The sequence below is a fragment of the Homo sapiens genome, chromosome 3, assembly GCF_000001405.40.
Source record: "Homo sapiens chromosome 3, GRCh38.p14 Primary Assembly".
NCBI classification, from domain to species: Eukaryota; Metazoa; Chordata; class Mammalia; order Primates; family Hominidae; genus Homo; species Homo sapiens.
This window is the reverse complement of record NC_000003.12, coordinates 9,986,089-10,010,000: the sequence shown is the minus strand read 5'-3', so window position 1 is coordinate 10,010,000 and position 23,912 is coordinate 9,986,089. Positions and strand designations below refer to the sequence as shown.

The 23,912-nt window shown below is 45.9% G+C and overlaps 1 protein-coding gene, 1 long non-coding RNA gene and 2 pseudogenes across 5 annotated transcripts in view, besides 5 other annotated features; 2 read left to right on the top strand and 2 right to left on the bottom strand.

The window, feature by feature from the left end:
- EMC3 (ER membrane protein complex subunit 3) overlaps positions 1–23,912 on the top strand; it is a 48,437-nt gene that overhangs the window by 1,118 nt on the left and 23,407 nt on the right. For 2 of the 4 annotated variants that reach the window (NM_018447.4, XM_005265321.4), the window contains exon 2: positions 23,099–23,494. In NM_018447.4, coding sequence (NP_060917.1) covers positions 23,340–23,494 — 155 coding nt within the window. In that variant the 5' untranslated portion in view covers positions 23,099–23,339. Of the gene's footprint in view, positions 1–1,348; positions 1,598–2,377; positions 3,585–23,098; positions 23,495–23,912 lie in introns of those variants that run through there. The other 2 variants (NR_148535.2, NM_001394674.1) reach the window with 2 other exon arrangements.
- Positions 731–940: a silencer, noted in NCBI's record as "silent region_14053". NCBI's record gives its function as "represses an Ori minimal core promoter by ATAC-STARR-seq in GM12878 lymphoblastoid cells {active_cell/tissue: GM12878}" and the evidence as "EXISTENCE:reporter gene assay evidence [ECO:0000049][PMID:35858748]".
- On the bottom strand, positions 2,997–23,108 carry EMC3-AS1 (EMC3 antisense RNA 1). Its single transcript, NR_103821.1, has 3 exons — positions 22,737–23,108; positions 21,254–21,289; positions 2,997–7,284 (listed from the first exon to the last, which is right to left on the bottom strand). It is a non-coding gene; the product is annotated as an EMC3 antisense RNA 1 (long non-coding RNA).
- On the top strand, positions 8,988–9,656 carry CYCSP10 (CYCS pseudogene 10; annotated as a pseudogene).
- FANCD2P1 (FANCD2 pseudogene 1) lies at positions 15,675–17,129 on the bottom strand (annotated as a pseudogene).
- Positions 22,591–22,810: an enhancer, noted in NCBI's record as "active region_19415". NCBI's record gives its function as "activates an Ori minimal core promoter by ATAC-STARR-seq in GM12878 lymphoblastoid cells {active_cell/tissue: GM12878}" and the evidence as "EXISTENCE:reporter gene assay evidence [ECO:0000049][PMID:35858748]".
- Positions 22,591–23,342: a biological region, named in NCBI's record as "NANOG-H3K27ac-H3K4me1 hESC enhancer GRCh37_chr3:10028343-10028990".
- Positions 22,695–23,342: an enhancer, noted in NCBI's record as "NANOG-H3K27ac-H3K4me1 hESC enhancer chr3:10028343-10028990 (GRCh37/hg19 assembly coordinates)". NCBI's record gives its function as "activates a minimal SCP1, AML or CMV promoter by ChIP-STARR-seq in primed H9 embryonic stem cells {active_cell/tissue: H9 hESC(primed)}" and the evidence as "EXISTENCE:reporter gene assay evidence [ECO:0000049][PMID:30033119]".
- Positions 23,071–23,230: an enhancer, noted in NCBI's record as "active region_19414". NCBI's record gives its function as "activates an Ori minimal core promoter by ATAC-STARR-seq in GM12878 lymphoblastoid cells {active_cell/tissue: GM12878}" and the evidence as "EXISTENCE:reporter gene assay evidence [ECO:0000049][PMID:35858748]".

The window sequence follows — 23,912 nt, the reverse complement described above, 5'->3', positions numbered from 1 at the left end:
CTGAAAAAGGCCTGGGCCTTAGAAGATGGGGAAGCAGGAGGACCCACTTAGAGGCCTTCACAACCTTCTAGGGCACAGGCCAGAATGCGGTATAGGTTTCAGAAGGGGGCTGGGTCCCTCACGCTCTTCTTGAACCGAAAGGGCTCCAGGTTCTTGGGCCCTTTCCACGCAGACATGGTTCTGGGGCCCCGGCTACACAGACACCCTTCTGATGGTTGTCGTCTGCAGCCAGACAGGGGGCGTGGGCTGACCCGCCCCTTCCTTTGCCAAGTGGACAGATGAAGGGAGCCTCTGAGGGCAGGATTGCTGGACTGTGAATTGGACTGGGAGTGTAATCCAAACGCCCCACGGGCCCCGCCTCTTCTCTGGAACTCGGCTTCAAGAAAACTGGGACAAGGGATGGCAAGAGCAGCTCTCAGGGCCCTTGCCCCTCCACCCCGTGATGCTTCTAGATGGTTCTCAGGGGCCACCTTTTTCAGGAAGAATTCTCGGGTTATAGGAAAGTAAAGGGAGGAATCGTGCTTTGAGTGGCACTTTGATCAGGCTCTAGACTAGGTGTTGGTTTGGTGGGGTTTGCTTTTCCTCCCGCCTCATACCCCTTCACAAAACCTGAGTCCTGGCTAGGCCGGGAGTGAGATTCCTGTTTCTAGATTTTCATCATTCCGTGTTGCACAGGAGGAGGTCTGGGGGGAAAGGGGACAGATACTAGCAAGTATATAGAAGATATATATGCACCAGGCTCTGGAGCAGCTGCTGACATCTGGTCCAGCGGTCATGGAGACAGGGGCGGGACCAGGTGGCAGTGACGCAGCGGGGGGCGTGGCTCCCAACGGCCAACGGCCCCGCCCAGGCTGGGCTGAGTCGGAGCCGGAACTGGGAGGTAGAGCCAGAGACCCGTAAGCGGAGCCGAACCCCTATGAGCTTGCCCAGTAGGGAGCTCAGGATCCCCAAGATTGGACAGGCAAATAAGCTTAGTGATAGTCCCACCAGTCTTCCCGAGAGTCACGGTAGGCATCCGCTTCCCCTGCCGGTCCCCAGGCCTGCTCTATCAGGCAACCTTGGGGACGGACTCAGGGCTGCATTTCCAATGCTCTGCAGACACACCTCGGGCTTGAATCCCAGGGTCTCACTGATTGCACAAATACTGATTGAGGGCCTCCTGGGTGCCAGAGATGTGTGGCTGTCAGGGAGGCAAGGTCCCTGTTCCAGTAGGGGTGACAGGTGTAAAACAGGATGACTTCAGAACCTGAGAATGGGGACAAAGCAGAGTACTGGGAAGTGGCTATGTGGGTGCGGGGCAGCCTGGGACGGGGTAAACAGCAAATCTTTGCCATCTGTTCCTGGCCAGATTTCGCTGGGGATGCTACTTGATCTCTCTTCAGCCTCAGTTTCCTCACCTGGACAGTGGAGCTGAACCCACCCCCCACTATCTGACCCTGCTCTCTGGGCTGTCTTTTGGGAACCCGCCCTGCTGAGGCCTGCTCCCCACCCTCCATGGCTGTCAGCCCCCCAGGAGAAGAATGTCTGCCATATGGAGGCTGCTGGCAGCAAAGGGAGATGAACAAGCCAAGGTTGCCCGGCCTGCATGCCGGCCCAGGTAGACACTTGAAAGGACCTTCTCTGTTTGTGGGTTTTTGCCCTGGTGCCTGGAGCCCCTTCCCTATAGTCCCTTGACCCAGCCCAGCTCTATGGGCTGGAAGCCCTGGCTTCTGAAGAGGAGATGTCAAGCTCTACCACAGGTCACAGCCAGAAAGAATTCTGGCCTCGTCCAGTGATAGTAAAAGCCACGCCTGGGGAATGTGCCCTCTCACAGGACAGCACTTCCAGAGGGGGCACAGCAGCAAGGTGGAGGGACAGACTCTGATGGGCCCTTGGGGAGCTCAAGCAGAACCCACAGGGGCCCTCTTTCTGGGGGTACAAACTGGCATTGGGTGGAGGGACATCCAGTATTGACACCTGAGGGACCTTCATCCCCAATGTGGATTTAAAGGACAGCAGCTCACTGGGGAGACAAGGAGCCCTATAACACTCCCACCCTCTCCTGAGCCTGCTTCTTGCTTCCTGGTCCTGTTCTTTATTGGGGAAGGAGAATCTTATCTGACTGGGGGAACTCCAGGACTGACCCTGGCCACCATCAGTAGTGGGTAGGGTAACCAAATGTTCAAGGTTGCCACACTCAGATGCCGGCCATGCACAAGGGTGGGGCCTTCTGGACCTACCTCAAGCTCATTAGGAACCCACAAGGAAGCTCCTTGATGGGTGCTGATGGGCATCTGCACCCACAGATTCACTGCCAGACACGGACAAACCGGGTTCCTGGGAAGCTGGAACCTACCTTATGAAAGCCCCCATTCCCACCACCCCCTCCATCCCTCAGGGCTGCTGCTGTGTCTTGCCATCAACCCTCCCCTGACACCCAGGATGCCTGCCTCACCCAGAAGCACTCCTACGTCAGGCCTCTGAGGGGGAGCGCTTCATGCCACTGTTATCAAAAGAAGAAACCATCGAAGCAGAAAGGCCAATGCCACACTAGACAGCCAGGAGCCCAGCAGAACAAGTGGCCCCCTAAGGCACTTTGGGGACCACACCCCGCCACTGACCCCAGCACAGTCTGGTTCCCAGGGCTTCAGGATCCTCCTGGGGACCTCTCAGCATGATTGACACAGGCAGACGGGACCTGAAGGGGCTGCTGGTCCTTCTGAAAATGTTCACCAGGTAGTGTGAGTGTGGGGAAGCCATGAACAATGTGTGGGACTCTACCCTGCACCTGCTCAGAGCCTCAGCCCTTCAGAGCCACTACTAATGATTTGCTGTGGGTGGGGTCACCCTGATACTTCTCTGAGGTGGCTTTTTCTTGCAGTTTTTCTGAGTAACTGACAGGAATCCTTGACTGCATGCCGCCTAAACTAGGGTGTGCACAGCCCTCGTTCTGTGCAAAGAGGGTGCAAAGCAGCAGAGTGTCTGTGACCCATTTGCCACCTAATGTTACTACAAGATTTGCAAGAACCGGTCACTTATCAGTAACCATTTTTATTTAAAAAGATAAAATAGAGCTTTGCAGGAAAGTGCTGCAGGCTCCCACGTTGCCGGGCAGACGACAACCTGGGCGCCTCGCCCAGCTCCTCCCCACAGCCATTGGCATCCACTGTCAGGTTTCAATGTTCTTGGACCTCAGGGCCTTCGTCCTCTCCAATCTAAATGCAGAGAGACATTTGACATGGACTCTCTCAGGTGTTTTGCAAAATGCAACACATTCTCATTGACTCTGGTCACTCTGCTGTGCACTACATGTCAAAACCTCTTCCTCCTCCCTGAGACTTTGGTCCTTTAACTGACAACCCCCCTCCCATTCCCTCCCTCTGCCACTCTCTGACCCCTGGTCACCATCGATCTACTTGCTACTTCTATGGGGTCAACTTGTTTAGATCAACACTTCTGGGACCTCACGTGGAATTGGTCTCTCTGAGGTAGTGGAGATGCTAAGTAGTGGGATTTCCTCATTCCACATTGTACCCCATGAATGAATACAAGCATGATTTGCCAATTGAAGCAATACAATAAAGACAGAAGAAATGTAAAATGCAGGAATTGTGGCTTGACCACCACAACGACTTGATTTTTGTCTTCAGCCATGCAACTATGTTGGGGCGATCTTATTCCTCCTTTTCTTTGGTAGAGACAGGCAAAAATATTTTAATAGTATGCAAAGGCATCTATCTCCTGGCAACCCTGCGGCAGCCCCAGCTTCTTGCCGAGCAGGCTGACGTCACAGCCTCAGGCTTCTCAGCTTGGACTTCTCAGCTTGGACGATGCTGGCTTCCTGGGATGGTTTTTGGTGTATCAGGGACGTTTCTAAGACTTCACCAGTTGCTGGTGCTCTGGGTGAAAGGGGAGACAATAGGGTCATGCTGGGGGCTTCACTAAAACTTCCTGGCTTCCCCGATCTGGCTTCCTCTGTAGGCTGGCAGGTGTACTGGCAAGAATGGCGGTCTTCTGCCCTGACATCTGGCTTTCTTCGGGAGGCTGAACGTTAAAAGCTGGCTCCCTATGAGCCCGCATCAGTGAGAGAGGGAAGGTGGAAAGTTCAGTGGATGGGGAAGGAGAGGTGGGAACCCCGGGAGGAAGGGACAGTTCTCTGATGGTGGAGCACTTCCTCTCTTGTTTTGTGTGCTCTAAAATGAGGTAGGTGGCCATGGGATAGTTGAATTTTCTTTCTATGATTGCCACAGAGATGTTCTTGGCCTGAAATCCCATGGCCACCATGAGCTGGATTGTTTGGGGTGGTCCAGGAGTGGCTCTTCGTATGGTATCAGTGGCATCTTCTGGCTACTTTTCACCCATGGATTTTTCATCAGTTACAGTGAAGGACACTTCCTGGCGTTCAGCATTAGTAATTTTTTAATGAGTCAAGTTGAAGGGCAAGAAGTGGTGGGGCATGGTATCTTCCTGTGAGAATTTTTTCTTGAAGTTTGGAGGCTTCCCTGAGTAAAAGGGCAAAGTCCTGGCCCTTCTACCTACTGTATTCCTGAAATACAGTATGACACTGAGGCTTTGTATGTCCCTGGCGGGTCACTGGCATGCCTGGCCCAGGGAGCGTTCTGGGGCCACGTAGGGGTACATGCCACAAAAAGCTGTCAGCATCTGCCCCTCTCTGAATGTTGTACTGAAGCCAAAGTCCACAATGTATGTTGCCTCATTCTTTGAATAGGATGTTTTGTGGCTTTAGGTCTGGATGTGTGATTTTTTTTTTTTTTTTAAGTGGCAGTACTGCAGGGCTGACAGAATCTGCCTGAACATGGTCCGGGCCTCCTCTTCCTCCTCGATGTGGCCATAGTGGTATATCTGGTGGTGCAACTCTCCTCCTCTGGTTTACTCCCTCACCACCTGGAAGAGCTGAATGATATTTGGGTGATGGAAAGTCTTCAAGATGGCAACCTGGGTCCCAGTTGGCCTATGCTGAGCCAGTTCCCTATCAGATGGTGTCTATGAACTGATAGTTTTGTATCTCCTTGTCAAGTGAGGTGGAGGGTGATCCCTGCTCCATGGTGCCTCCCAACTATACTGACTACAAATCCTGCCTCTAAAAGCTATGCTGTGATGCACAGCACTAACTGTGCTAGCTAGGCTAAGGCCACTGTCGGTGACAATACCCCAGGCTCCAAACCCTCTGGGTCTGAGGGCCGTTCCCTTCCACGGTTACACAGATTCCCACCCCTCCCTGCCCATCTACCCACCATGCGGGGAAGGTGCCAAGGAGTAGACACATGGACAGTCGTTCTGGTGTCTCCTGGTGGGGCCAGACTGGGCACCATGGCTGCAAGCACAGACAGGGCAGAGAAGAGGCCAGGGCCACGTGGTGGAGCTGGGTCTAAAACAGGACTCCCAAGGGCAAAGGCCCTGCCCAGACTTGGCACCCACAGTCTTCTGCTGAATGCTATGAGCCCGCTTCAGTGAAAGAGGGAAGGTGGAAACTTCAATGTAGAGAGGACAAGTGGGATCCCCAGGAGGAAGGGTCTGTGGTCTGATAGTGGACCGCTTCTTCTGTTTTGTTTGTTCCAAAACAAGGTAGGTGGCCATGGGATAACTGAATAATTTTTCTTTGATTGCCACAGATAGGTTCTCAGCCTGGAATCCCATGGCCACCAAAAGCTGGGTTGTTTTGGGATTCAGGTGGTCCAGGATTTGTTCTTCATGTTGTCAGAGGCAACTCCTGACCACTGTTCACCCACGGGTCCCTCATAACTTCTTCTAGTGTGGTCTGCTCCCTGGGGTCTACTGTTAATAGTTTTTTAATGAGGCTTTTAAGACCTCAGGAAAAGTAGACTGGGGAAAAATAGCTTCCACTTTAAATTTTTGCTGAGAGGACCCTAATGCTGCATGAGCAGAAGGGCAGAACCCCAGCCACCATGTGGTATAAAATTACTCTGAGGCTCTGAATATCCATGGTGGCACATTGGTAGCCCTGGCCTAGGAAACGTTCCAGGGCCATGTAGGGGTTAAGTGCTACAAAGGGCTGTCAGCTTCTGCCCATCATGGAATGTGGTACCAAAGCCGAAGTCTGCGATCTTAACGTTACCGTCCTCATCAAGGATGATGTTTTCTGGGTTCAGGTCTCTGCGCAATTTGCTATGGCACTACTGCATGGCCGACAGAATCTGCCTGAACATGGTCTAGGCCTTCTCCTCCCTCATGAGGCCATGGTGGTGTATTGGTTGCGTGGGTGTCCTCCTCTTGCATACTCCGTTACTAAATAAATAACTGGTGTTGGGGGTGTCAATCACTTGATACAACCGTACAATATTGAAGTGACAGAGTAACTTTAAAATACTTATCACTCTCTGGAGAGTGATGCCAAGGGAGCCAGCCTTGGGGATGATTTTGATGGCCATTTGGGTCCCAATCAGCATGTGATCCTGGACCTCACTGAACGTGCCACGGCCAATGGTGTCCAGGATTTTACAGTTCTGGAGCTCCTGGTCAGGTGTGGTGGAGGCTGATCCCTGCTGCATGGTGCCACCTGTCTACACTGACTATAAAACTACTCTAAGTGTAGTGACTATGGTAACAATATTGACCCCACCAACTTGATTTTTGTCTTCAGCCGTGCAACTATGTTGGGGTCATCTTATTCCTCCTTTTCGGCGGTGGACACAGGCAAAAACATTTTAATACAATGGAAGTGCATCCCCTGGCAGCCCTGCGGCAGTCACAGCCTCCTTATTGGCAAGGCTGAAGTCAAAGCCTTGGGCTGCCCAGCCTGAATGACACTGGCTTCCTGGGATGGTTGTTGCTGTGTCAGGGACATTTCTGGGTCTCTGCCACTGCTACTGGTGCTCTTGGTGGAGAAGGCCACAGGGTGTTGCTGGGGAGGTGGTGAGCCAGAGGTTTCTGGGTCTGCACCACTGCTGCTGTTGCTCTGGGTATAGGGGTAGGCCACAGGGTCATGCTGGGCGGCTTGTTGAGCCTGGGATGTTTCTGGGTCTCCACCACTGCTGCTGGTGCTCTGGGTGGAGAAGAAGGCCACAGGCTGATACTGGAAGGCTTGTTGAGCCAGGGACATTTCTGGGACTCCACCACTGCTACAGGTGCTCTGGGTGGAGGGGAAGGCCATGGGGTCATGCTGGGGGCCTTGTTGAGCCAGGGAGGTTTCTGGGTCTGCACTACTGTTGCTGGTGCTCTGCGTGGAGGGGGAAGACACAGGGTCATGCTGGAAGGCTTGTTGAGCCAGGGACATTTCTGGGTGTATCCAGTTGTGCAGGTCTCCTCCTCTTGCATACTCTGTTACTAAATAAATAACAGGGTGATGCTCAGGGGCTTGTTGAGCCAGGGATGTTTCTGGGTCTTCACCACTGCTGCTGTTGCTCTGGGTGGAGGGGGAGGCCACAGGGTCTTTATGTATTTAAGCATAAAGGCAAGGCTTGGCGCGGTGGCTCATGCCTGTCATCCTAACACTTTGGGAGGCTGAGGCGGGTGGATTGCTTGATCCCAGGAGTTCAAGACCAGCCTGGGTAACATGGCAAAACCTCATCTCTATAGAAAATACAGAAATTAGCCAGCTGCAGTGCATGCCTGTGGTCCCATCTACTCGGAAGGCTGAGGTGGGAGGATCACCTGAACCTGGAAGGTCAAGGCTGCAGTGAGCCAAGATTGTGTCACTGTACTCTAGCCTGTGTTAGAGAGCCAGACACTATCTCAAAATAAAATAAAATAAAATAAAATAAAAAAAGAAACTGCTGAAAAAAATTAAAGACATAAATAAATGGAAAGAGCTATTGTCTTCATGGATTGGAAGACACTCAATATTCTTAATGTGACAATACCATTCAAAGTGATTCAATGCAATCCTTATCAAAGTCCCACAACATAGTTTGCAGAAATAGAAAGATCCATACCAAAATTCACATGGAATTTCAAGGGACCCCCAAATTGCCAAAACCTTGAAAAAGAGCAAAGTTGGAGGGCTCACACTTCCTGATTTCAATATATATATATGTATTTTTTCAAGATGGAGTCTTACTCTGTCACCCAGGCTGGAGTGCAGTGGCGTGATCTCGGCTCACTGCAAGCTCCACCTCCTGGGTTCATGCAATTCTCCTGCCTCAGCCTCCTGAGTAGCCGGGACTACAGGCACCCGCCACCACGCCTGGCTAACTTTTTTTGTATTTTCAGTAGAGATGGGGTTTCATCGTGTTAGCCAGGATGGTCTCAGTCTCCTGAACTCGTGATCTGCCCGCCTCGGTCTCTCATAGTGCTGGAATTACAGGCGTTAGCCACAGCACCCAGCCCTGATTTCAATACTAATACAAAGCTACAGTAGTCAAAACAGTGTGGTACTGGCAGAAGGACAGACACATAGACCAATGAAACTGAATACAGAGTTCAAAGATAAGCCTTCATATATGTGACAAATTGTTTTTTTTTTTGAGACGGAGTCTTGCTCTGTCATCCAGGCTGGAGTGCAGTGGCACAATCTCGGCTCACTGCAAGCTCCACCTCCCAGGTTCACGCCATTCTCCTGCCTCAGACTCCTGAGTAGCTGGGACTACAGGCGCCCACCACCACACCCGGCTAATTTTTTTTTTTTTTTTTTTTTTTGTATTTTTAGCAGAGACAGGGTTTCACTGTGTTAGCCAGGATGGTCTCGATCTCCTGACCTCGTGATCCGCCCACCTCGGCCCCCCAAAGTGCTGGGAATACAGGCGTGAGCCACCATGCCCGGCCGACAAATTGATTTTTGACAAGGGTGCCAAAATAATTTCAGTGGTGAAAGGACCATCTTTTCAACAAATGGAACTGGAAAAACTGGATATCCATATGCAAAAGAATGAAGCTAAATCCTTAAAATACACTATACACAAACATTAACTCAAAGTGGATCAAAGACCTAAATTTAAGAAAATAAGAGAAAACCTTCATGACCTTGGATTCGGCAATGGTATCTTAAGCATAACAACCAAAAGGACAAGCAACAACAACAAAAAAAGTAAAGAGTGGGTTGTCCGGCTTTGGAGTGGCAACCTTCGTGGCCCCAGGGACTAAAAAGAGAATTAAATACAAGTGATGTTGAGAAAAGCAAGATTTTTGTTCAGAAGTGTGCCCAGTGCCACACCGTGGAAAAGGGAGGCAAGCACAAGACTAGGCCTAATCTCCAAGGTCTCTTCGGGCGGAAGACAGGTCAGGCTGTTGGATTCTCTTACACAGACACCAATAAGAACAAAGGCATCACCTGGGGAGAGGATACACTGGTGGAGTATTTGGAGAATCCCAAGGGTATGGAAGAAAAATGATCTTTGCCGGCATTAAGAAGAAGGCAGAAAGGGCAGGCTTGATAGCTTATCTTAAAAAAGCTACTAATGAGTAATAATTGGCCACTGCCTTATTTATTACAAAACAAATGTCTCATGACTGTTTTATGTGTACCATACTTTAATAGATCTCATACACCAGAAATCAGATCATAAATGACAGAATATTTTGTTGGGCAGTTGTGATTTAAAACTAAGACTAGCTTGTGGTTAAATGTTCAGTTTTTGAATTTTAATAGTAATTCCAATTCAGAACATGGTATCACTGTTTACCCCTTCTAAAAATATGATTAGACTTTGTTAGTAATGTTCAACTTCTCACAAAGATGGTGAGTGCCATCTTAAAACTTAATAGAGGCCGGGCGCAGTAGCTCATGCCTGTAATCCTAGCACTTTGGGAGGCCGAGGCGGGTGGTTCACTTGAGTTCAGGAGTTCGAGACCAGCCTGGCCAACATGGTGAAACCCCCGTCTCTACTAAAAATACAAAAATTAGCCAGGCGTGGTGGTGGGCACCTGTAATCCCAGCTACTTGGGAGGCTGAGAGAGAACTGCTTGAACCCGGAAGGCAGAGGTGCATTGCAGTGAACCAAGATCGCGCCACTGCACTCCAGCCAGAATGACTAAGCAAGACTCCATCTCAAAAAAAACCCCAAAAAATAAAAACAACAACAACAACAAAAACTTAATGGAGATTGGTTTTATATTTAGATTTATTTAACTGGTTATGTGAATATATTTAAATACTGGGGAAATTTCCTCACTGTCTTAGAACCAAGCAAGATTCAACTGTGTTTGGTGTTCATTTGCCTCTTAAAGGCTAGGATTGAAGGAAAATAAGGTAGCAATGTCTAGTTTATTATTTAACACTTCTCACATTTTATACATGATCTATAAGGTCACATGCTTTTAAAATAGTAACAAGTTAAACTTCACTCTTGAATTCTTTACACTCTAACTCAAACTAAGTTATGATTCAGGATTGTCTTTAAAGAACCATTCGAAAACATAAAACTGCTGCGTATTTGTGATTGGGAATGGTGCTTTTGCCAACTTAAAATGATTAGAATACACACTTTAAAACTATGTGTGATCATACGACTCAAAATAATTAAGAAAATCACAGATCAAAAAAATAATAAAATAACATAAAAAATAAGGCCAGATGTGGTGGCTCATGCCTGTAATCACAGCACTTTGGGAGGCTGAGGTAGGCAGATCACGAGGTCAAGAGATCAAGACCATCCTGGCCAACATGTGAAAACCTGTCTCTACTAAAAATACAAAAATTAGTTGGGCGTTGTGGCACAGGCCCATAGTCCCAGCTACACGGGAGGCTGAGGCAGGAGAATTGTCTGAACCCGCAAGGTAGAGATTGCAGAGAGTCGAGATCGTACCACTGCACTCCAGCCTGGTGACAGAGCTAGACTCCATCTCCAAAAAAAAAAAAAAAGATAAATTTGACTTTATCGAAACTAAATACTTTTGTACATCAAAGGACACTATCAAGGGAGTGAAAACCCATAGAATGGGAGAACATGTTTGCAAATCATATGTCTGATAAGGGATCAATATCCAGAATATATAAATAACTCCTATACCTCAACAATGACAAAAACCCAATTTAAAAACGGGCAAAGGGCTGAGCACAGTGGCTCGTGCCTGTAACACCAGCACTTTCAGAGGCAGAGGTGGTTAGATCTCCTAAGCTCAAAAGTTCGAGACCAGTCTGGGTAACATGACGAAACCTTATGTCTACCAAAATTGCAAAAAATTAGCGGGGCACCATGGTGCGCACCTGTGGTCCCAGCTACTCAGAAGGCTGACATGAGAGGATCGCTTGAGCCTCGGAAGTGGAGGTTGCAGTGAGCCAGGATCATACCACTGCACTCCAACTTGTGTGACAGAGTGAGACCTCATCTCTGAAAAACAAAACAAACAAAAATGGGTAAAGGACTTGAATAGACATGTCTACAAAAATATAGAAATGGCCAAGAAGTATGTGAAAAGATGCTTAACATCATTAGTCATTAGGGAAATGCAAATCAAACCACAATGAGGTATCACTCCGTACTCATCAGGATAATTATAATTAAAAAATAGGGCCAGGAGAGGTGGCAGGTACCTGTAGACCCAGGTACTCAAGAGGCTGAGGAGGGAAGACTGCTTGAGCCCAGGAGTTTCAGGCTGCAGTGAACTATGATCACGCCACTGCACTGCAGCCTGGGTGACAGAGCAAGATCCTATACATAAAAAAAAAAATTAAATTATTAATTCATTAAAAGCAAAATTATTATTATTATTATTATTATTATTATTATTATTATTATTTGAGACAGAGTCTCGCTCTGTTGCCCCGGCTGGAGTGCAGTGGCGCAATCTCGGCTCACTGCAAGCTCTGCCTCCCGGGTTCATACCACTCTCCTGCCTCAGCCTCCCAAGTAGCTGGTACTACAGGCGCACACCACCACGCCTAGCTAATTTTTTGTATTTTTAGTAGAGACGGGGTTTCACCATGTTAGCCAGGATGGTCTCAATCTCCTGACCTCGTGATCTGCCCGCCTCGGCCTCCCAAAGTCCTGGGATTACAGGTGTGAGCCACTGCGCCCGGCCATAAAACATTTTTTAAGAAAGGAAAATAAATGTTAGCAAGAATATGGAGAAATTGGAGACCACGTGCATTGGTGGTAGGAATGTAAAATTATGCAGCTGCTATGGAAAGCGGTGGTGGTTCCTCAAAATGGTAAACATATGTTCATCACATGATCCAGCAATTCCACTCTTATATACCCTAAAGAACCGAAAACAGGGACTCAAACAAATATTTGTAAACCAATACTCATAGCAACATTATTCAAATGGCCAAAAGGTGGAAACAACTCAAGTGTCCATCAATGGATGAATGGATAAAAAAAATGTGGTATAAACAAAGAATGGGGGCCGGGCGCAGTGGCTCACGCCTGTAGTCCCAGCACTTTGGGAGGCCGAGGAGGGTGGATTACCTGAGGTCAGCCGTTTGAGACCAGCCTGGCCAACATGATGAAACCCCAACTCGACTAAAAATACAAAAATTAGCTGGGTGTGGTGGTGCACGCCTGTAATCACAGCTACTCAGGAGGCTGAGGCAAGAGAATTGCTTGAACCCAGGAGGCAGAGGTTGCGGTAAGCTGATATCGTGCCACTGCGCTCCAGCGTGGGGGCCAGAGTGAGACTCCGTCTCAACAAAACAAAACAAAACAACAAAAACAAAGAATGGAATTACTAAAGCTGTAGTAGGGAATGAAGTTCTGATGCATGCTACAACATACATGAACCTTGAAAATATGCTGGCTGGGCGTGGCGGCACACGCCTGTAATCCCAGGACTTTGGGAGGGCGAGGCGGGTAGATCACGAGGTCAGGAGATCGAGACCATCCTGGCTAACACGGTGAAACCCCGTCTCTACTAACAAAAAAAAAAAAAGAAAGAAGGAAAAGAAAATAATATGCTAAGTGAAATAAGCAAGACACAAGGATACATATTGTTATGATTCCATTTATATGAGGCATCTAGAATGAACAAATCCATAGATAGAATGTGATTAGTGATTATTAGGGGCTGGGGAGAGGAAGATGGCAAATTATTGCCTAATGGGTACAAAGTTTGTTTGGGATGATCAGAAGTTCTAGAAATGGATAGTGGTAATGGTTGTATAACATTATGAATATACTTAATGCTACTAAATGTACCCTTAAAAACAGTTTAAATGGTATATTTTACGTTATATCAAAATTAAAAATTAAATAATGAAGAAACTTTATATTACTGATTTAAGGCAATCTCCAAAATAAACTGCTAAATGCAAAAGGTATGATATAGAACAAGAGGGGAAAGGAAACTACAGGTAAACACAAATTTGTAAATTCTCAGAACATCTCAGAAGGTTATAAAGTGATTGTCCCTGTGGGAGACAAACCAGGTGCCTAGAGGACTGAGAAGAAGTGAGTTATTTTTCACTGGATACTCTTCTATATGTTTTGAATTTTGACACATGTATATTACCTAGTCCAAAATTTTTTTTAATTAAAAAAATGTGTTGACTGGGGATCCAAGAAAGGGCAGGGGGGAAGATAAAAAATATACTAGTTGTTCAAAGTCACAGTCCAGTATGAATTACTGCCATAAGGTAGCACTAAAGATACAAATGAGTTACAAGTTATGATTCCAATCTAATCTCTTCTTTTTGTTTTATTTTTATTTATGTGTCTATTTTTGAGATAGAGTCTCACTCTGTTGCCCAGGCTGGAGAGCAGTGGCACAATCATGGCTCACTGTAGCCTCAACTCCCTGGGTTCAATGGATCCTCCCACCTCCGCCTCCTGAGTAGCTAGGATTACAGGTGTGTGCCACCACACCTGGCTAATTTTTGTATGTTTTTGTAGAGATGGGGTTTCACCATGGTGCCCAGGCTGGTCTCAAACTCCAGGGCACATGTGATTCTCCTGCCTTGGCCTCCCAAAGTGCTGGGATTACAGCCTGGCTTTTTCAGTGAATGGCATCCACAAACAAAAGCAAGCCCACGTGAAGTTCACATTAGATGGAGATGTTTCTTAGAAAACAAGGCAATTCTGTGTCCCCACTGCACTCAGAACCTGAACAGTTTCATGGTTAGCTGACCACAGACCCATCTCTACCCTAATAGACAGAGCTTTTTGAGGGCAGAGGATCTAATGTATCAGTGCCTGGCACAGAATAGGCACTTAATGTTTGTGGTAAGAATAAAAAAATGCTCGAACTATGGCTATGTACTCCATTTCCACTATTTTACACAGCAAATCTATCATTTGCTTTTTTTTTTTCCAGCAAATTTCAAGTAAAGAGGTTTAAAAACACAAAATACTAAAAATACAAAAATCAGCCGATTGTGGTGACACGTGCCTGTAGTCCCAGGTACTTGGAAGGGTGAGGCAGGAGAATCGCTAGAACCCGGGAGGCAGAGGTTGCACTGAACTGAGACAGCGCCAACTGCACTCCAGTCTAGGTGACAGAGCTAGACTCCGTCTCAAAAAACAGAATCTTTCCCAACATATTGCTTCTTACCTGGATGTGGCTGCTGGCTTCATTCTGTTTGCCACTGGATGGCCATTCTAAGGGGATTCACCACCGAGGCCTCTCCAATCTCTACTTCGTTAAAATCACAATCAACCCAGTCCCATCATCTATTATCTAGTAATGCTGGCTTCAGGAGATTTAGGAATATGCCAGTGTAACTTGACCATCCCGTCTTGACCTATTTCCCATATTTTATCAGTGAGCTCTACCTAAGCCCTCCTGATTTTGCTCCTGGGCGTAGTTTTCCTCTTTCTTTTTCCCATATGGGTTAAATTTTACCCTTTAGGTTGAGGTTGTACAAGATCAGTTGAAATTCCTCAAAAAGATGCCACTCAAGGAGCTAAAAGCTTTAAAGGTTTTCTCCATATAGTACAGGCTAGATTTGCATGTTTCCAAGCAAACATGGATCATGACAGTGTCTCTAAGACATTAAGAGGGTCCAGAAATGTCTTAGATGCCATTCTCCCTTTATACCGTCACTCCATAAGTCATAACAGAATTCTCAATTACAACAGCTACCTCATGTCAGCTGCAACTACTGCTCTATTTTAAATGTTTACAATTTTTTTTACAAATCTTCATTTTAAAAGTTCCATTCAGATGCGTTTTAACATTGCTAATAGGAAGAATATATGTACAAATACAAAATAAGACACTGTGCTTTACTTGCTTTCATAAACATTTTCCACAAATACAGTCCTCTCTCTCTGGATATATGCTATTAAAATGTGTCTCGGCCAGGCACGGTGGCTCATGCCTGTAATTGCAGCACTTTGGGAGGGCGAGGCAGGTGAATCACCTGAGCTCAGGAGTTCGAGACCAGGATGGCCAACATGGTGAAACCCTGTCTCTACTAAAAACACAAAAAATTAGCTGGGCATAGTGGCACGCGCCTGTAATCCCAGCCACTCAGGAGGCTGAGACAGGAAAACTGCTTGAATCCGGGAGGCGAAGGTTGCAGTGAGCCGAGATTGCGCCACTGTACTCCAGCCTGGGCAACAAGAACGAAACTCTGTCTTGAAAAAAAAAAAGTGTCTCATGTTTTGAAATAGACCAAATCTGTATCTTAATTTCAGACAAGAGAATTTTAGAGTTCAGAACACAGAGTTAGATCCACCAGTCAAATCTCTTCATTTCATCAAGGCTGGGAGTAAAATTGAGCTTTCCTGAGACCCAGTTCAGAGCTACTTTCCCTTCAGTAAGTTCCAACCAACAAAAAATAAGCATTAGATGATTCTTCCTTCCTCTGTTCCCTCCTTGCCAAAATAAGTATTTCAACATACCTGCTGGCAGTATGTGTCAAAAAACATAAACACATTATTTGTATAGGAGACTGCCAAATGAAATTCTACTCTAGTCTAGAGAGTGAAGCAAACTCTGAGCCAGCGACATAATGGATGAACACATATCCTTAAGAACCTTGAGTGGGGAAGAGTAGAGAGAGAAAAGAAGCTGTAGGAAACAGTACACAACCTAAGAGTTGCTTATCCTTTTGGAATGTCAGATCAGACTTCTCTTCCCCAACTCTCATTTTAACTTAAGAAATCTTAATCTTTGTTTTACACAGAATAATCCTTCACCATTCTGAGTTTTCTCTCAGGATCAATGGGAGTCCACATTTGGATATTAATTGACTGTTAAGCTCAAAGAAGTTAAGTTATAAGCCTAATAGTACATTCCTATCTGCTCGATTTGGGATTGGAGGCCAGATCTTCTAAATCCCGGTTTCCTCATGCAATCACACGACCCCCCAGGGATGTTCCACCTTGGTTATAATTTGAAGTTGGTCTATAAGGTTCAATGCTAACTAAACTGACTTTTTTAAAAGAAGTGATCATGCTCTATCAATAATGCAATATATAGACATTAATGGACCCAGAGTAAATAACCAGTTAATAAACATAGCTTCCTTATTGATACCATAATTTTAAAAAATCTTACATTTAGTAGTAAGCTGGGTATAATGCTTTATTGGGGAAAATGCAATGAAAAATTACATATGGTTTCCGTGTCTAGAAAATTACAGCCCAAAACACATATAACTGGCAGAAATAAACACAGAAAAGAACTGCTAGATGAAATAAGACAAACATTAAATCTATTCCTAAATATAAAATGTAAGATCCAATGAGGTATTCTCATTAGCTCCTAACCCAAACCCCAAACTACTGGCCCATCCAGTTTTCTAAGTTCTATACTGTTAATATACTGAACGTTCAGCCAGCAAAACATTATTCCCAGTTTATAAATTCCAGTTTGAATAATTTACATTTCCAGAGGAATTATCACCTAAAATCCAGTTTTGAATGGCCAAAGAGTGATAGTTCAAATAGGTCCATATTTACGTTTCTACTAGTTTCTACAGCCTGGTCCTATTCCCCTCAAGGTTTTTATAAGCTACTTAGAATAGGATACGAAAGGCTAGTTTGTCATAATTGCAAACTGCATTGAGATAGACAATTAAAATGTTAATGCAAAAATAAAATTCAAAAATTTCAATGGGTTTGAACAATGGACTGAAATAAGATGAAATTTTACATGAGAGCTGTAAAGCTTTCTGTTTTAGATTAAAAATCAATAGTCTCTGACACTTACTAAGTAATGAACAGAGAATGTACTCTGGAGCAGCTGTTCTTGAATGCAGCCTGATCGAATCTTATTTCTTAGCACCCTTTCAATGTACTTCTTTGTCTGAGTATTGGTGCTATAGATGATGAAAAGCATCACCAGGTCAATAAATATGCAATAATAGAAAAACAGTTAACCAATCAGTACATTTGCTACAATGAAACAGCAGCTTTTCCTCTAATTAAAACACACAATGGATGATGCTCATTTGTTCCACACACTCCCCTGGTAGTATCTACACTTTTCACAAAACCCAGAAATATTTTTTAAAGAAATAAAGTGCCACAACTATTAACCACTGGTATCTCTTAGGAATACATTCCAATATACATTAAAGTGATACTACTACAGAAGTAACTTTGAACATCTTCACATTTATTAAAAGATTCAATCACTTGCCAACTCCAGTATGTATTTTCACTATTACTAGAAAAATTACTTTGTGAAAAGTTGGAAAGACTATAAATGCCCATCAATCTGGAAAGGGTTCAGTAAATTATGATGGAGTAATTTTAATTTTTGAAATATTATAGTCATCAAAAAGGATAAGCCAGGCTGGGCGTGGGGGCTCACACCTGTAATCCCAGTACTTTGGGAGGCTGAGGTACACATATCACCTGAGGTTAGGAGTTCGAGACCAGCCTGGCCAACACGGTGAAACCCCATTTCTACTAAAAAATACAAAAAAAAATTGGCCAGTCGTGGTGGCAACTGCCTGCAATCCCAGCTACTCAGGAGGCTGAGGCAGGTCAACGACTCGAACCCGGGAGGTGCAGGTTGCAATGAGCCGAGATTGTGCCACTGCACTCCAGCCTGGGTGACACAGCGAGACTCTGTCTAAAAAAGACTTTTTAATTACAAAATTTAAAAAAAAAAGAAAAAGGTAGATCAGGGGTCCCCAACTCCTGGATCACGGAGTCTGTGGTCTGCTAGGAACCAAGCTGCACAGCAGGAGGTGAGGGGTGGTCAAGTGGTCATTACCACTGAGATCCGCCTCCTGTCAGATTAGCGGCTGCATTAGATTCTCACGGGAGCGCAAACCCCATTGTGAACTGCACATGCGCAGGATCTAGGCTGCACATTCCTTATGAGAATCTAAGTAGTGCCTGATGATCTAAAGTTGAACAGTTTCATCCTGAAATCATGCCCCGAAACGGTCTGTGGAAAAACTGTCTTCCATGAAACCAGTCCCTGGTGCCAAAAAGGTTAGGGACTGCTGAGCCATACTCTATTTTTTGACAGAGGAAAGACATTCCTGATATGAAGTGGAAAAAACAGCAGCCTGCAAAAGGATAATCAGGCTGGGCATGAAGGCTCATGCCTATAATCCCACTGCTTTGGGAGGCTGAGGAGGGAGGATCATTGAGCCCAGGAGGTGGAGGCAACAGTGAGCTACGATTGTGCCACTGCACTCCAGCCTGGCGACAGAGTGAGACCCTGTCTCTTTAAACACCACCACCACCACCCATAATCATAGTTAAGATTCTGCTTTTGTAAAAACAATATATAAACATATATATGTGTAGGCATAAGAGTATACCTGTACTTGCACACAATTACAGCTTGTATATGAAGAGAAAAAATTTGGAAGGATGATTACCCCTGAGGAATGGGAAAGAGAGCAGAGAAAAACTGTATTTTTTACATCTGTAGATTCCTTGTGGATTTTTCTCCACAATTAGCTTGTTTACCTAAGTTTAAAAAAGAAAAATATGAGGGCTGGGTGCAGTGGCTCATGCCTATAATCCCAGCACTTTGGGAGGCCCAAGCAGGAGGATCACTTGAAGCTAAAAATTTGAGACCAGCCTGGGAAACACAGCAAGACCTCATCTCTATAAAAAATAAAAGAATGGCCGGGCGCGGTGGCTCACACCTGTAATCCCAGCACTTTGGGAGGCCAAGGCGGGCAGATCACGAGGTCAGGAGATCGAGACCATCCTGGCTAACATGGTGAAACCCCGTCTCTACTAAAAATACAAAAAATTAGCCAGGCGAGGTGGTGGGCGCCTATAGTCCCAACTACTCAGGAGGCCGAGGCAGGAGAATGGCGTGAACCCGGGAGGCGGAGCTTGCAGTGAGCCGAGATCGTGCCACTGCACTACAGCCTGGGCGACAGCGAGACTCCGTCTCAAAAAATAAATAAATAAATAAATAAATAAAAGAATTGGCCAGGCGTGGTGGCTCACACCTGTAATCCTAGCACTTTGGGAGGCTGAGGCAGGTGGGTGGATCACCTGAGTCAGGAGTTTGAGACTAGCCTGGCCAATATGGTGAAATCCCATCTCTGCTAAAAATACAAAAATTAGCCAGGCATGGTGGCAGGCACCTATAATCCCAGCTACTAGGGAGGCTGAGGCAGGAGATTTGCTTCAACCCAGGGGCCAGAGGTTGCAGTGAACCGAGATTGTGGCACTTCACTATAGCCTAGGCAAAAGAGCGAAACTCTCTCAAAATAACTAACTAACTAACTAACAGAATTAGCCAGGCCTGGTGGTGCTTGCCTGTAGTCCCAGCTACTCCAAAGACTGAGGTGGGGGGATCGCTTGAACCCGGGTGTTTGAGACTGCAATGAACTATGATGCTGTCACCGCACTCCACCTTCGGTGACAGAGCAAGACTTAGTCTCTTAAAAAAAAAAAAAAAAAAAAAAAAAGAGAAAGGCCCGGCACGGTGGCTCACACCTGTAATCCCAGGACTTTGGGAGGCTGAGGTGGATCATAAGGTCAGGAGATCCAGACCATCCTGGCTAACAACGTGAAACCCCATCTCTACTAAAAATACAAAAAATTAGCCGGGCGTGGTGGCAGGCGCCTGTAGTCCCAGCTACTCGGGAGGCTGAGGTAGAAGAATGGCATGAACCCAGGAGGTGGAGCTTGCAGTGAGCTGAGATTGCGCCACTGCCTGCACTCCAGCCTGGGTGACAGAGCAAGACTCTGTCTCAAAAAAAAAAGAGAAAACACTGGGAGTGTATTCAGGGCAATCTGAGTCTATGCTTCCAGGAAAAAAAAAAAAAAAAAGTTAAAAAGGCAAGCAGGACAAAAAAGAAAAAACAAATTTTACTACTTCTCTTAACTGAATGCTCCACTTCTTAGGACACCAAAATTTAGAGTCATTAGACCAGAATACAGTCATTAAAGATAACAATGAAGACAAAGCAGAAGCACATGGAGAAGAAAATGTTGAGAAAAAAGAATACAAATTATATTTATATTTATAAAATGATTACAAATACGTAAAAATAGGTATGCAGGCAGTCAAGGTGTTAAATTTGTGTTTATCTAAAACCAAAAACAGTGTGTTTGGAGTACTTTGATATTTCTCACCACAAAAAGTTATTCATTTTTTTCATTGCTTTATTCATCATCATGAAAGCTTTTAAGATAGTCATCCCAAAATTGGATAACAAAACTAACAAAAATCCCACAAAACAGATTCCAACCAAAGAAAAATCTTTAAAGGCAACCAATCAGCACCTAAGGAACTCAATCATCTGGCTTTTTATCTTTTGAGATGGAGTCTTGCACTGTCGCCCAGGCTGGAGTGCAGTGGCGTGTGCCACCAGGCCAGGCTAATTTTTTTTTTGTATTTTTAGTAGAGACGGGGTTTCGCTACATTGGCCAGGCTGGTCTCAAACTCCTGACCTCAGATGATCCGCCTGCCTCAGCCTCCCAAAGTGCTGGGATTATAGGCGTGAGCCACCGTGCCCGGCCAATCATCTGGCTTTTTGATGGAAGGTATTTCTAGAATTAATAGAGACATAAGATCCAGTACCACTGCTTTGACAGTGGACAGACTGATTTACTCTAGTCAGGTCTACATGAGCAAAGTAAAGTAAAACATGGAATGCCATTATCTTGACAGTGGTGCTGGGTGGAAGGAAGGGCAATTAGGCAGATATAGGGACCTGAGACTTAGGTGGTTATTTTCTTCATCTCATCAGTGGGGACCTGGCTTCTTTGACTGCACCTTGATGTGCTTGTTTACACTGTTAGTATTTCCCCTTGTGGATACTGTAGGCTTATTTTATAGCCAGAGTGAGTAGGGGCAGGCTATCTGGCCAGTCGCCACCTCAGATTATCTTCCCCAGACAGCTAATGTTTATTAGAGCAACTAGGGAAGAGAGAGAAGAGTGACTGGAGGGAGGAGAAAGAAAGACAGTGGGAAGGCAAGCTAGCCAATGTCATTACTTTTAAGTCTGCAATACTGAAAATGCATAGTACATGAACATTACCTTGTGTTCAGATACTGAGGCAGTGTTTTCAATTGCCTGAAAAAACAGGAGAGTCACAAAAATATTATGACACATCAGCGAAACACGTTACACCTTATTCAGCATGCCCTGTTATCTCATCTAAGAGCCAATGTGTCCATATGGCAACCATCAGCTATCATTTCCACTTGAATGAGTTTTGAGATTTTTATTTCAATCTACCTCAGTTATACATCTGTCACTAATTGCCACTCATTTCCTCCTTGATAATCAAAGTTCCAAAGATCCCACCTTAATCCAGGCTTCTGAAATGGTTTTCTCATATCTAATAGCTGACTTTATTACATCAAAGAGAATAATACGGTTCTGACCGCTGCTTTCTTGATTTCCTGAGGAATTACAAGTAGCAGAGAGGAAAAAAATTACTCTTCTACCTACCAGAAAAGAACTTACAAGATGTGAATTCCTGCTTAGTAGCCATGTACCCTGGAGTAAATGACAACCTCATGTATAAGATGGCTAATAAACTTGCACTGTAGTCTGCCTGGGATTGATCTGAATGGCTAAGAAAACATATGAACACATACATAGCCACATACATATACGTAATTTGAAAAACGATATAATACTAGATGTAAATATCATAATAGTACCATTATTTGTAGTTGTAAGTATTAAGCTCCAACTCTGACTGTGGGATGTCAGAGAACTGTGACATCCTATGTGAGGAAAAGGGTGGCAATTATCCATGAGCTCTTTACCTTGCTTGTCCTTTACTTTTTAACTTTACTTGGAAAGCCTGCAACAGTGATGGCAAAACACAATGCTGCAGGATCCAACTTCTCCCGAAGCTCAGAGATTACCTGCAGAAAGTTAATATTAGCTATGGTGTTCTGCTCATTCATAGTGGGTAGGTACAGTCCAGTCTCTCAACCATGACAATCTCCTGAAAGACTGAGGAAGAAAAAATTTTAAACGTTGGACATTTTGAAAAATAGAGTTGTGAGAATAGCTAAATGCAATGTCGTAGAATGTCATATCCAAAATTTCAGAATTCTGTGAGGTACTACACAGAAAGAGTAAATGTAACTTATAGCAGCTTATATAGATCAATGAATCTGTTGAATAGCTCCATTTCCTCTTCTCAATGCTATCCGGATTAGTCAACATTCTCAGTTAGTCAGGACTTTCGGCTTCCAGACACCCGCCTTTAACACGTGCGATACCATTTGGCTTCCCGAGAAGCCCAACAGACGTGAGATGAGGCCGACTGCCTGGACTAGTTCATCGGGAAGGGGGTGAGGGTAAAAGCCTTTCTCATTTCCTCATTTTAACGACGCAGAAAGGTACCTGTGGGGACTATCCCATCTCAGGGCAGATGAGGAAGCCGAGGCTTGGGGCGCGGAGCCCCAGAGAAGAACGCCGACCGCGGCCCGGACTTAAGAGATTAGGTCGCAGGGGAGCGGGGCCTCGAGAGACTACGACCACTGCTCCATTTACTCACCGAGAAGCCGTCCCCGCCTGTAGTTTTCTTTCTTTTTTTTTTTTTTTTTTTGAGACGGAGTCTTCCTCTGTCGCCCAGGCTGGAGTGCAGTGCAGCAATCTCGGCTCACTGCAGGCTCCGCCTCCTGGGTTCACGCCATTCTCCTGCCTCAGCCTCCCGAGTAGCTGCGACTACAGGCGCCTCCACCACGCCTGGCTAATTTTTTTGTATTTTTAGTAGAGACAGGGTTTCACCTGTTAGCCAGGATGGTCTCGATCCCCTGACCTCGTGATCCCCCCACCTTGGCCTCCCAAAGTGCTGGGATTCCAGGAGTGAGCCACCGAGCCTGGGCCACCGCCGATAGTTTTCCACTTTCCCGCCAGGCCCGACGCCGCTCTGACGCCACTGAGGTGCGCCACGACGTGACGTCAACGTTCGCGCCGGAAGTGGAAGACCAGGCAGCCCAGCTGAAGGCAGTAAGCTCGGCTCACAGTCGCAGGAGAGTTCTGGGGTACACGGGCAAAGGGGCTTGAGAAGGCCCGGAGGCGAAGCCGAAGAGAAGCAACTGTGCCCCGGAGAAGAGAAGCTCGCCCATTCCAGACTGGGAACCAGCTTTCAGTGAAGATGGCAGGGCCAGAACTGTTGCTCGACTCCAACATCCGCCTCTGGGTGGTCCTACCCATCGTTATCATCACTTTCTTCGTAGGCATGATCCGCCACTACGTGTCCATCCTGCTGCAGAGCGACAAGAAGCTCACCCAGGAACAAGTATCTGACAGGTCAGCGCCCTCCCTTCTCCAGCCTACCTCACACCGCCGTGACCTTGGGCAAAAAAGTGCAGGAGTTGTGTCAATTTGCCTAGGTTCACGTCGCGCCCCCTCTGACAGGGTGACCTTACCCGTTACCTCTGTGTTTCACTTTTGTCCTCTGTGAAATGGGGATGATAACAGTACCTGCTTCATAGACAGGTAGGAATCAAATTAGGTGATGTCTGTAAGTCCCTTAGCACAGGATCTAGGACGTATTGAGTGTTGAAAAAAACAGTACTGTTAATCCTTTAGGTTAGTCGCCGACCCTCGGTGGGTTTACCTATGAACTATTCCATCCCACCCTTCCGTTGAGAAGAGTGCCAGGTGCGTTACAGCGTTTAGTCTTTGTAACATCCAGTCAAGTGAGTGTGATAATCTGCATTCTACC